The sequence below is a fragment of the Homo sapiens genome, chromosome 6, assembly GCF_000001405.40.
Source record: "Homo sapiens chromosome 6, GRCh38.p14 Primary Assembly".
In the NCBI taxonomy this organism is placed as follows: Eukaryota; Metazoa; Chordata; class Mammalia; order Primates; family Hominidae; genus Homo; species Homo sapiens.
Window position 1 is genome coordinate 99478780 of NC_000006.12, and position 12353 is coordinate 99491132.

Genomic DNA, 12353 nt, shown 5'->3' on the forward strand with positions numbered 1-12353 from the left:
ACAAAAACCACAAAGTTGAAGACCTTGCTCCCAAATAAGGCTCATCACAAGTGGTCAAAGTGTGTGATAATCACCACTATAACAGAAACTTCAAGAGACTGGTTCATGTACACACAATATGAATAAACCACAAATTATGCCAAGTGAAGGAAGTCAGATAAAAAAAGAGTACACCCTGTATGATTCCATTTCTATAGAATTCCCCAAAATGCAAACTAATCTATTGCAACAACAAAAAAAAAAACAGGTAAGGGGTATACCACCCAGGGATGGAGTTTAGGGGAGAGGTTCTAGAGAAAGGGATTATAAAGGGGCCCAACAAAACTTTGGGGGGTGATGGATACATTCATTACATTGAATGAATGTATGTATATATACATATATACACACACACACACACACACACATACACAAAGTGTATAGATATGTCAAAACTTATCCAATAGTATATTTTATTTTTTAGAGAGACAGGGGTGACAGGAGTGCAATGACATTAACAGCTCACTGAACACTCAAAACTCCTAGGCTCAAGTGATCCTCCTACCTCAGCCTCTAGAGTAGCTGGGACTACAGGTGTGCACCATCACACCTCTGGCTAATTTTTTTTTCATAGAGTCTCCCTATGTTGTCCTGGCTAGTCTCAAACTCCTGGCCTCAGGCAGTTCTCCCACCTTGGCTCCCAAACTGCTGGGATTACAGGCATGAGCCACTGTGTCTGGCCCCAGTAGTACACTTTAAATATGTACAATTTATTTTATGTCACATATACCTTACTAAAGCTAGCCAGAATATCCACCAATACAATTTACTATTCCAACAGACAAAAAAAAAAAAAAAAAAGATTATTTGGATACAGAAAAAGCATTTTTAAAAAATCCATTTCTTAATAAGAACTCTCAGAAAAAAGAAAAACTAAGAATAATTGGGAATTTCCTCAACCTGATAAAAGGCATGTATGAAAACTCTATAGTTATTATCACACTTACGTGTGAAAGACTGCATGCTCTCCCTTTAATATCAGGAATAAGGCAAGATGCCTATTTCACCATTCTAACATTGTATTGGTGGTCCTTTTTCATTTTTTTTCCAAGAAGAGTCCTATTGCAATATGTATTGGTTGTCCCTGACAGTGATATAAAATGAGAAAAAGATATAAAATGATACAGATTGGAAAGAAAGAAAACAATCTTCATTTGCCAATGACATTGTCTACATAGGAAATACCAACGAATCAACATAAAGCTAAGAGAACTAGTAAAGCAAGTTGGGTAGGGTAGCAAGAAACAAGGTCAACATACAAAAATCAACTGTATTTCTGTATATTAACAATGAACAATTGGAAATTGAATTCTTTAAAAAGAGTACCATTTACAATAAATAGCATAAAAACATGAAATTCTTAAGATAAATCTAACAAAATATGTGCGGGATTTGTATGCTGAAAACTATACACCCTTGATGAGAAAAATCAAAGACCTAGAAAACTGGTAAGATATCATACATGAAAAGATTCAACATTGTTAAGATGTTGATTCTCCCCAAATTGATCTACACATTCAAAACAATCCCAACTGACAATCTGATTCTATAATTTACATAAAAAAGCAAAGGACCGGCCAGGCGCAGTGGCTCACGCCTGTAACCCTGGCACTTTGGGAGGCCAAGGTGGGCAGATCACCTGAGGTTGGGAGTTCAAGACCAGCCTGACCAACATGGAGAAACCCCATCTCTAGTAAAAATACAAAATTAGCCGGGTGTGGTAGCGGGCGCCTGTAATCCCAGGCTGAGGCAGGAGAATTGCTTGAACCCAGGAGGTGGAGGCTGTGGTAAGCCAAAATCATACCATTGCACTCCAGCCTGGGCAACAAGAGCGAAACTCCGTCTCAAAAAAAAAAAAGAGGACCTAGAATAGTTTGAAAAGGATGACCAAAATTTGAGAACTTATGCTACTCAATTGCAAGACTTACTATGAAGCTACAGTAATCAAGACAGTGTAGGCTTTGGGGTAAAGACAAGACATGTAGATCAATGAAACAGAATATAGTTCAGAAATAAACCCAAACACATGTGGCTTAAATCTTTACTTGATTTTAAAAAAATATATTTGTCTAATGTATACTTCTTTTAAAAGTAAACGCCATAAAACAAACAAAAAAAAGGCAATTTAAAACTTTTCAGCCAAGCATGGATGACGCTCATGCCTGTAATCCCAGCTACTTGGGAGGTTGAGCAGGGAGGCATGCTTGAGCCCAGGAATTCGACTATGATTGGGCCACTGCACTTGAGCCTGGGCACAGAGCGAGACCCTGTCTCCTAAAAAATACAAAAAATACATAAAAATCTTCAAATAATGTTTGATCTAGTTATTCTAAGAATTTATCCTACAGATGTACTTCCGCAAGTACAGTGTATTCATACAAAACTGAGTAAGTTATACACACATGTGCTAACATGGAAAGATGTATAAAATATATCAAGCAAGTTGCAAAAAATTTGCATATGTCTGTGTATGTATGATCACTTTTGGAAAGAATCAGATAATAGTTACTTCTGAGGAGTAAAGATAGAGAGGAGTTTGAATTTTTATCTATGAGTGCCCATTATTTTAATAGTAATTTTTAAAATGTTAATAAACCTTTATAACCAGGAAGAAAACTATACAAAACAAGTTATTTCTGGCAAAGTCAGAAACAAATTTCTAAAGCATACAATGACCTAGTAACTTTTTTTGTTTTAATTTCAACTTTTATTTTAGATTCAAGGGGTACATGTGCAGGTTTGTTATCTGGGTATATTGTGTGATGCAAAGGTCCGGAGTACGAATGATCCCGTCACTCAGGTACTAAGCATAGTACCGAATAGTTAGTTTTTCAACCCTTCCTCCCTCAATCTCTCCCACCTCTAGTAATCCCCACTCTCTACTGTTGCCATCTTTATGTCCATGAGTACCCAATGTTTAGCTTCCACTTATGAGAACATGTGGTATCTGGTTTTCTGTTCCTGCATTAATTCACTTAGAATAATGGCCTCCAGCTGCATCCATGTTGTCGCAAAGAATATGATTTCATTCTTTATTATGGCTGTGCTAAAAACTTTTTAACTCTGTGAGACACTCATGCCTCTGAGAATTTTGCAGGTTTTTTTGGTCCTCAGGCTTTGAAGAAACATCATTTGCCAACCAAATGAAACATACACTAAGCCCTCTATTTTGGACTATATTTAAAATATCATGGCATTCATTACTAGTTTTAATTAAAATGAGATTTTAAAGTCTATAGATATACAAAAACACAAGCTCATATTCAAATAATTTTCCTTCTACATATTTTAGTAATTGTGGACTGGACTAGCTTGTGAGTTCCATGAGGACAGGGTGCATTTGTGACGCAATATATGTTGTGTACCCCTGAATTGTAGCAAGTACCTCATAAAAAGCAAGCTCTCAATTTTTTATATAAATGAATACATGAATGCATTAAAGTCAAGTCAGATCCTTTATGTGTTTATTTCCAGGCACATAAGGATTTGGTTTTTAAACATACTGTAATACCTTGAGAAATTCACTTAAACTCTATTTGCCTCACAGCTCATCTTTTAAAATAAGAAAGCTAGATTAGATGTTATCTTACGGTACTTTCTAGATTTTACAACTCTATGGTTTTCTCACTTTATGGTATTACAACATAGGCATCCAAGTCAGGACAGATCTCCATTTGATTCTCAGCTTTTCACTCAGACTAGGTGAGCCATTTAATTTCTGTGTCTCCATTTCCTTATATATGAGGATAAGCTGCTTCTTCTGAGGACTGAGATATAATTTTCATAAAGCATAGAGCTGTAACAAATTTTAGTTCTCTTCATAGTCAGGGCAATAAGAGCAAAGTTACAGTAAAAACGACTATTCATGTTAAATGATGAATACATTAGTATTTTGTAACTCATAATTATTTATATTAAATGTAGATGCACCCACTTCTGACAAAGCTGATTAAAAAGAACTTTAGGAGAAAGTGGTCCTTTTTCAGTCTCCTTCATGCTGTGAAGAAACAGGAACAAGGCTGAGGTCAGTGGTCCAGGCCTTGAAAGTTCCACCACCAATGGGTCCTTTAAAAACATGATCAACTCTATGTCAGAAATGTACAATTTAAAAATAACATATTAAAAATCTGTGAGTTACACTCTGCTTAAATAACACCAACTAAATTGCCTCAATTGTATTAAGAAACTTTATTATTTCATAAATAAAATATATAAAAATGGAAAACAGAATACCTGCCTTGAAAAACACAGGTATTTTCATATCCTCTGCCCTTTGCTTAATAAAACTATTAGATCAAATGATATCACCAATCTTTAGTTGCTTGTCACTGTCCTTTAATGCACTCTCCTATAAATAAAATCACTAATCTACTTAATGTTTGTACCACTCCACGAATAATCATACATTATTTGCTAGTAAATAATGTATGATTATTTGTGTATAATGTAGGATTATACACCTTTCTTTTCCCCAAATATTTTACTAGTAAAGTAATAATGTGGAATCATGTAACAAAATCAGCATAACATCTCCCTCTTTTAAAGGGGAGAGACATAAAGCTTGACAAAAGCAGCTAACATTGGGTGAAGGATTAACCCATTTAATTCTAGAATTTTTTTCCCCTCGAAATCTGGTTTCTAAAGTACTATCCCCACCAATAACACTTTCTCCTAAAGGACAAGGAATAGAAAGCAGATCCCAAATATAAACTTGGGACATTAAAGAATGTTATCTTCCGGCCGGGCGCGGTGGCTCACGCCTGTAATCCCAGCACTTTGGGAGGCCGAGGCGGGTGGATCATGAGGTCAGGAGATCGAGACCATCCTGGCTAACAAGGTGAAACCCTGTCTCTACTAAAAATACAAAAAATTAGCCAGGCGCGGTGGCGGGCGCCTGTAGTCCCAGCTACTCGGGAGGCTGAGGCAGGAGAATGGCGTGAACCCGGGAAGTGGAGCTTGCAGTGAGCCGAGATTGCGCCACTGCAGTCCGCAGTCCGGCCTGGGCGACAGAGCGAGACTCCGTCTCAAAAAAAAAAAAAAAAAAAGAATGTTATCTTCCAAGATAACTATTGAATATATTGTCCTATTCCTATATTCATGAAATAACTGTTACATATGTATTTTATAACAACTATCCTTAAAAATCCACTATAATCACAGAAAGGACAGGCTATAATTTTCCATAGTTTTTTTTTTTTTTTTTTTTTAAAGAGACAGGGTTGCCCAGGCTGGTCTTGAACTCCTAAGGCTCAAGCAATCCTCCCGCCTCAGCCTCCCAAGTAGCTGGGATCGCAGGCATGAGCCACCACACCCAGTCAAAATTACAGAGGACTCAAGACAGACTTTTGTGTTTTTTCTTTTTTTTTTTTTAGACGAAGTCTCACTCTGTCACCCAGGCTGGAGTGCAGTGGTGCGGTCAGCTCACTGTAACTTCAAACTCTTGGACCCAAGTGATCCTCCTGCTTCCACCTCCTGAGCAGCTGGGACTACAGATGAATGCCAGCATATCCAGTTGATTTTTAAAATTTTTGTAGAGACGGGGGTAGAGGGGGGGTCTCACTTTGTTGCCCAGGCTGGTCTTAAACTCCTGGCTTCAAGTGATCCTCCCACTCCGGCCTCCCAAAGTGCTAGGGGATTACAGGAATGAGCCATGGTGCTCGGCCTTCCATAGCTTTTGAATGTCAAAAGTGCTTTTCTGGGCTGGATGCCATGACTCACATCTGTAACCTCCACACTTTGGGAGGCCAAGGTGGAAGGATCACTTGAGCCCAGAGTGGAAGGCCCGCTTGGGCAACATAGGGAGACTCCGTCTCTGCAAAAAAAATTTAAAAATTAGCCAAGTGTAGTGGCACGTGCCTGCAGTCCGAGCTACTCAGGAGGCTGAAGTGGGAGGATCCCTTAAGCCCAGGCTGCAATGAGCCATGATGGCACCACTGCACCCCAGTGTGAGTGACAGAATGAGACTGTCTCCAAAAAAAAAAAAAAAAGTGTTTTCTCTTCTGCTGTAAACTTAAAACTGCTCTAAAAAATAAAGTCTATTTTTTTTTAAAGTGTTTTCTGCCATGTTAACTGAAAGTTACCTCAAGGGTCAAAAGTAAAATCTAAGGTAATTTTAAACTTCAAGTACCAAGTTGCACTTCCCTTTTCTCAATGAAAATATTTTTTAGACAGAATAAAAAACCTTCAGAATGAGATGAGGAAATAACCTTAGTTTTAAAAAGTACATTTAGACCTGGCGCAGTGGCTCACGCCTGTAATCCTAGCATTTTGGGAGGCCGAGGCAGGTGGATCACTTGAGGTCAGGAGTTTGAGACCAGCCTGGCTAACATGGCAAAACCCTGTCTCCACTAAAAATACAAAAAAAAAAAAAAAAAAAATTAGCTGGGTGTGGTGGCACGCATCTACAGTCCCAGCTATTCAGGAAGCTGAGGCAAGAGAACTGCTTGAACCTACGAGGCAGAGGTTGCAGTGAGCCGAGATCGTGCCACTGCATTCCAGACTGGGTGACAGAGCAAGACTCCATCTCAAAAAATAAATAAAATAAAAATAAAAAATACACTTAAACTTTGAAAACAAAAGTTTGCTGAAAACGCAAGAAGGATGAATTTCACACATAATGTTGACAGAAAGAAGCCAAATGCAAAATAATGTATATAGTAAGATTCCATTTATATGCAGTATTAAAACAGGCAAAACTAATCTATCCTGTTAGAAACCAGGTTAGTGGTTACTCATGTGGGTTAGGGAAGTAGTGAATGTGGGGGGGAGTTGAAGGGGCCTTCCAGATGCTGGTAATGTTACTTGAGCAAGGTGTTAGTTACACAAGTGTGTTAGCTGTGAAAATTCATCAAGTTATACACTCATAATATACATTTTAAAGAATATTTTCATTAAATAAAAAGTTTTCCACACACACTGTTGATATGCGCATAAATATTAAATTGAATCCAGCAGCATATAAGCATATCATAACTGGGGTTTGTAACAAGAATACAGGATAGGTTTAACACTTGAAAAAGGAATCAGTGTAATTCACCACATTAACAGAATAAAGAAGAAAAACCATATGATCATCTCAATAGATGTGGGAAAAGCATTTGACAAAATTCAACATCCATTCCGATAAAACTTTCAGAAAACTAGCAATAGAAAGGAATGTCCTCAAGCTTACAAAGAACACCTCTGAAAATCGTACCTTCGTATGTAATAATGGGAGAAGGCTGAATGTTTGTTCCCCTAATTTTGGGATTAAGGCAAGGCTGACTGCTCCCATCATCTCTATTCAACATGTTACTGGAGCTCTGAGCCAGCACAATAAGGTAAAAAAATAAAAATAAAAAAATAAACGGTATATAGACAAAAGACAAAGATAAACTGGTGATTCAAAGGGCAGTAACCAACTCAAAGAACAGTGCCACAGCTCAGGTCAACTTTATGCCCTAAAAACCTAAGATATAAGATTCAAAATTACCCTGTTAGAATGATACAAACCTAAAGTTATTAACTACAGTATCTAATTGCCATATAGTAATCCTGAAACACAGCTCTGCATGTCAAATATTTAAACTCAACATCCAATCGCATTTAACAGGAAATCACATTTAACAGGTCTTTTTAAATGACTAGGCAATAACTTCCCTTTAGTAGTTTTAAGGATCTCACTACACTTTATTTAGAATAGGGCATTGGAATCTATCATTAAATTTTTAAGGGGCTGAACAAATGTTTACAGGCTGCTTTTCGACTATATATACATATATATATGGTAAACATTTACATGTAAATATATATATAAAAAGGAGGTTATTATATATATATAACAGTATGTTATATATATAATAATACTGTCTTTCAAAGATATATATATAAAACAATACTGTCTTTCAAAAGTGCCTACTGGGAAAAACAATCTAAGATTACTAAGCATGTTTAGAGGGCTAAGCATTTTTAGAACTCTTTAATTGTTTTCAAAAGTCAGATCATGAGCTATACATATACTCTGACTTACACACTTACACACACACACAAACACACACACACAGGCTGATCAATTTCTCACTAAAATTATCCTTACTAGTATCAACACCTCCCAGCCAAAGTCCATCAGAAACACACCTATCGTTGAACTAGGTGGGTTTATTACTTGTGGCAGTGAGGGAGATCACGCAGCATGGGGAACCACAGGGTGTCCTAGTAAGAGAGTGCTGTAAAGAACCTACCCAGGATTTAGGCTCTGGTTGAATAACCTGAAGGTGGGTTTCAGGAAGCAGAGGTTTACTCTAGAGTGAATGCCCTCAGAAAGCGAGGCTAATTCTATCATGGGACATCTCAATAAATCTTACATATTGTGGCAGTTGGTGGGGGAGACTAAAATGAGGATAAATCTCTAACTAGTAAAGTAGCATTCCTTCATTTCTCATTTTGGCTGAAGGAGGGTGTTTCAGATTTTCTAAATGGCAAAGTGATCTTGTTTTAGACAAAATCATGAAGTGGACTTGCTTTGTCTTATTTCATCGTAGTCTCAGAGAAACCTACTATCAGATTGTTATTCTGTGGGATTATCTGAATAACATGGCCTAACTGTTGGTGCCAGGCCAGCTTCTGAATATCAGGGGCTGCTCTTTTTTTCATCTTTCTCACTAGCTTAAAAATCTATCATCAGGCTAGGCTTCAAAAAACCTTTAGATGTGGCCGGGCGTGGTGGCTCACGCCTGTAATCCCAGCACTTTGGGAGGCCGAGGCGGGTGGATCACGAGGTCAGGAGATCAAGACCATCCTGGCTAACATGGTGAAACCCCGTCTCTACTAAAAATACAAAAAAAAAAAAAAAAAAAAAAAGTTAGCCGGGCGCCTATAGTCCCAGCTACTCAGGAGGCTGAGGTAGGAGAATGGCATAAACCCGGGAGGCGGAGCTTGCAGTGAGCTGAGATCGCGCCACTGCACTCCAGCCTGCACTCCAGCGACAGAGCGAGACCCCGTCTCAAAAAAAAAACCTTTAGATGCTCACTATTAAAATTTCATCTTTCTTTAAAGAACAAAAATGCTAAATTTAAACAAATGTCACCAGAAACTACAAAATAGGGGTTATAGGCATTTTGCTCAATAGAAGTCACACCTCTTTTGTTTCTTCCAGTATGTTTATTTTAAAGCTGCCTTGATATCTTTTTATTATTTGATCCATGGCATATTGGAACCATAACATACCTTAAAGTTATGATTTTAGAAATTTTAAATCTGATTATTTTCACAGAATGCTTTTAAATTATTTTTAAGCCCCCTGGCTACTATCTTAGTTGACTGATCTGCGAATTAGGAAAAGAGATTTTGGTAACATCAGTGGCTCATCTGAAAGCAGCTATTATTCAAACAGTTATTACTCACCAGCTGAGAGTCTGAGGAAGGAAAAATCTTGAGTTTTGTACTACTTTCTTTGATCTCATTCATCAGATCAGTAAGAGTATAAGTCTGTGCCAAGTTCTAAAAGAAAACAAAATTAAAGTCTTCAGATTCAGTTAAAATATGCCTCTGATTTTATGGAATACACTCTCAAATTTCATCTAGCATAGCAAAAGTGTCTATTTCAAAAAATATTAAGATTTAGTTGAGTACATTTTACATTTAGTAAAGGTCACTATTACCGATAGAGCCATGGTAAAATACACAGAAGACCTTTCAGAAGCCCTGTGTGAAAATAAGGTACATGTATACATATGGTGATGGCCCAAGATAGCGTAAACAAAAGGAAAACAGAGAAATTTCTAGAGGAACATTTAGCAGTCATTTGACAGTCTACAGGTGAGCCAATGACTACATAAATTAAGAGAATCTTTTACATATTACAAAGCTTTCTGATGACTCTTACCTGCATGACTGCATTAAAAAAGCAAGTATTTCCTAAATTTGTAATTCCTCTTACAGATAAATTTCTGCATTTTCCTCCCTTCTGTATTTCATCTGTTTCACATTTTTCTTCACAAAGTTTCATGATTCTAGAAAATGCACCTACAAGTTAGAGAAAAAATAACTGACACAAGATGTAAAGATAAATATGTCACTTAACATAATTTATATACATTATTTAAAATTAAATTTAAATAAGATTATCTCCCTGAATCAGTGTTCCTGAAGGGGAAGAATATAAACACAACTATCTTTGGTTTTATATTTTATTGCTAGAGGAATTAATTTAAACTTTAGTATACAGATCTGCACCTCACACTATATTACAGAATAAATTGCAGATGAATTAAAAAACTAAATGTAAAAGAACAGTCGAGAACAAGTAGAAAAGGTCTAACTTCTAAATACCATTACCCATGAAAAGAAATAAGGACGTCTAGGGGAAAAGGCTGATTCTTAACCCAGGGTAGCAAAGATGCAAAATGAACCCATAACATTTTGCCATGCCAGAGAGTAAGGAAGTGCTCAAAATGTGTGATTGGGAATAAGTCAAAATACACAGGGATTTTGACCAGCTCGTTCAATTCAGATAATTTGATCATAAAAATAAGTAAGGGTAGTATAATAGATTATTATTCACAGAATGAATCTGAATTGGTAACAGATTTTTTAAATGAGAAAAAGTAGGGAAGAGACTTCCTTATAAGAGAATGCCAGCTAATAGAAGAAATGACAGAATTAGGAAAATCACCATCCTATAGTGGCAATTTTTGTATTATTCTTGCAACATTTCTGTGAATTTGAAAATGTTCATATTAAAAGTTTTTTAAAAATAAACAGAACCACACTGTAATACAAAAAGTAAAATACCTAAGTATATGACACATAAGTGCATGTTTTGTGCTTACAGATTTGTATAATTAATGCAGATTTGAAAATTATATTAGGCTGGCCACGGTGCCTCAGGCCTGTAATCCTAGCACTTTGGGAGGCTGAAGCAGGTGGATCACTTGAGGTCAGGAGTTCAAGACCAGCCTGGCCAAGATGGTGAAAGCCCGTCTCTACTAAAAATACAAAAATTAGCTGGGCGTGGTGGTGCGTGCAAGCCTGTAGTCCCAACTACTCAGGAGGTTGAGGCATGAGAATCACTTGAACCTGAGAGGCAGAGGTTGCAGTGAGCTGAGATCATGCCACTGCACTCCAGTCTGGGTGACAGAGTGAGACTCTGTCTCAAAAGAAAAAAAGAAAATTATATTATCAGTTCATGTTTACTAATATGAAAACAAAGAACAATTCCTAACATTTACTGACATGGTTGACTACATGTATTTAGCAGATTACTCTCTGAATCAAAATTATGATAATTTGAAGTTTGATAAGAAATTCCCAAGTTCTGAAATGCTTTAGTTTTAACTAGATGTTCTTTTAAATTCCTTTCAGCCCTCAGATTTTTTCTTTTTTAAAAAACAGTGTCTCACTTTGTAGCCCAGGCTGAAGTGCAGTGGTGCAATCTCAGCTCACTGCAACCTCCGCCTCCCAGGTTCAAGTGATTCTCGTGTCTCAGCCTCCTAAGAAGCTGAGATTACAGGCACCTACTACCACACCCAGCTAATTTTTGTATTTTTTTTCTTTTTTTTTTTTAGTAGAGAAGAGGTTTCACCATGTTGGCCAGGCTGGTCTCAAACTCCTGACCTCAAGTGATCCACCCACCTCGGGCTCCCAAAGTGCTGGAATTACAGGTGTGAGCCACCGTAGCCAGCCAGCCCTTAGATTTTATAGTTCTTTACAATTACATGTTTTTTTCACCTAATACTGACATGCTGCCTTGCATTACTAATTAACTTATAAATATTTGGCTGATTGATGGAAATAGGGGAACATCTCTTACTCTTGCTCTTCCTGCCAAAGGGGTACAGCACTGGGGGGACTGTTCATAATAAAAATTCGAAACACATAAAAATCTGCAAGATTAAACAGCAGAACTAGTGGGTTAGCTTCTTACGTCTCTGACAAGTTCTTAAGAGGAAATAAATTATGACACCTGCCCCACTTCTGTAAACAACATTAAAGGAGATGAACCCGAGTGGGAGTGGCCCTGTTCTAAGGAGCAGGAAGTGCTGGGATTACAGGTGTGAGCCACCGCGCCCAGCAGAAGATGTTTCTTTCATTAAGCAAACCTATTTCATGGAAAAAAGTTTTCTTTAAGTTCTAACAACTTTTATCCTGTGCTACAATAGTTTTTATAAACGCTATTAACTGGTTTCCCCCTATTCCTGTTTTTTTTATTCTTTAAATGTTATTGGTTGTTATTGGAATGTGTTCAGATATTAAGGAGCTATTTTTAACTCCCAACTCCAGAATCCTGAGGTAAAGCAGAAAAGAACTAGCAAGATAGGTCTCTTTTCCTGTCCTCC

At 37.2% G+C, this 12353-nt stretch overlaps 1 protein-coding gene across 26 annotated transcripts in view, besides 1 other annotated feature; it reads right to left on the reverse strand.

Annotated features, from left to right (window-relative positions):
- Positions 1 to 12353, reverse strand: part of USP45 (ubiquitin specific peptidase 45) — an 85522-nt gene that overhangs the window by 46455 nt on the left and 26714 nt on the right. For 20 of the 26 annotated variants that reach the window (NR_144344.3, NR_144345.3, NR_144348.2 and 17 more), the window contains exons 6-8: positions 9902 to 10041; positions 9421 to 9516; positions 3974 to 4104 (exon numbers count right to left, since the gene is read on the reverse strand). Coding sequence is in view for 18 of the 26 variants with exons in the window: in XM_005267170.5 (XP_005267227.1) it covers positions 3974 to 4104; positions 9421 to 9516; positions 9902 to 10041 (367 nt within the window). In the remaining 8 variants the exon portion in view is untranslated. Of the gene's footprint in view, positions 1 to 986; positions 1124 to 3481; positions 4105 to 9420; positions 9517 to 9901; positions 10042 to 12353 lie in introns of those variants that run through there. The other 6 variants (NR_144346.3, NR_144347.2, NM_001346027.3 and 3 more) reach the window with 2 other exon arrangements.
- Positions 6406 to 6545: a silencer, noted in NCBI's record as "silent region_17417". NCBI's record gives its function as "represses an Ori minimal core promoter by ATAC-STARR-seq in GM12878 lymphoblastoid cells {active_cell/tissue: GM12878}" and the evidence as "EXISTENCE:reporter gene assay evidence [ECO:0000049][PMID:35858748]".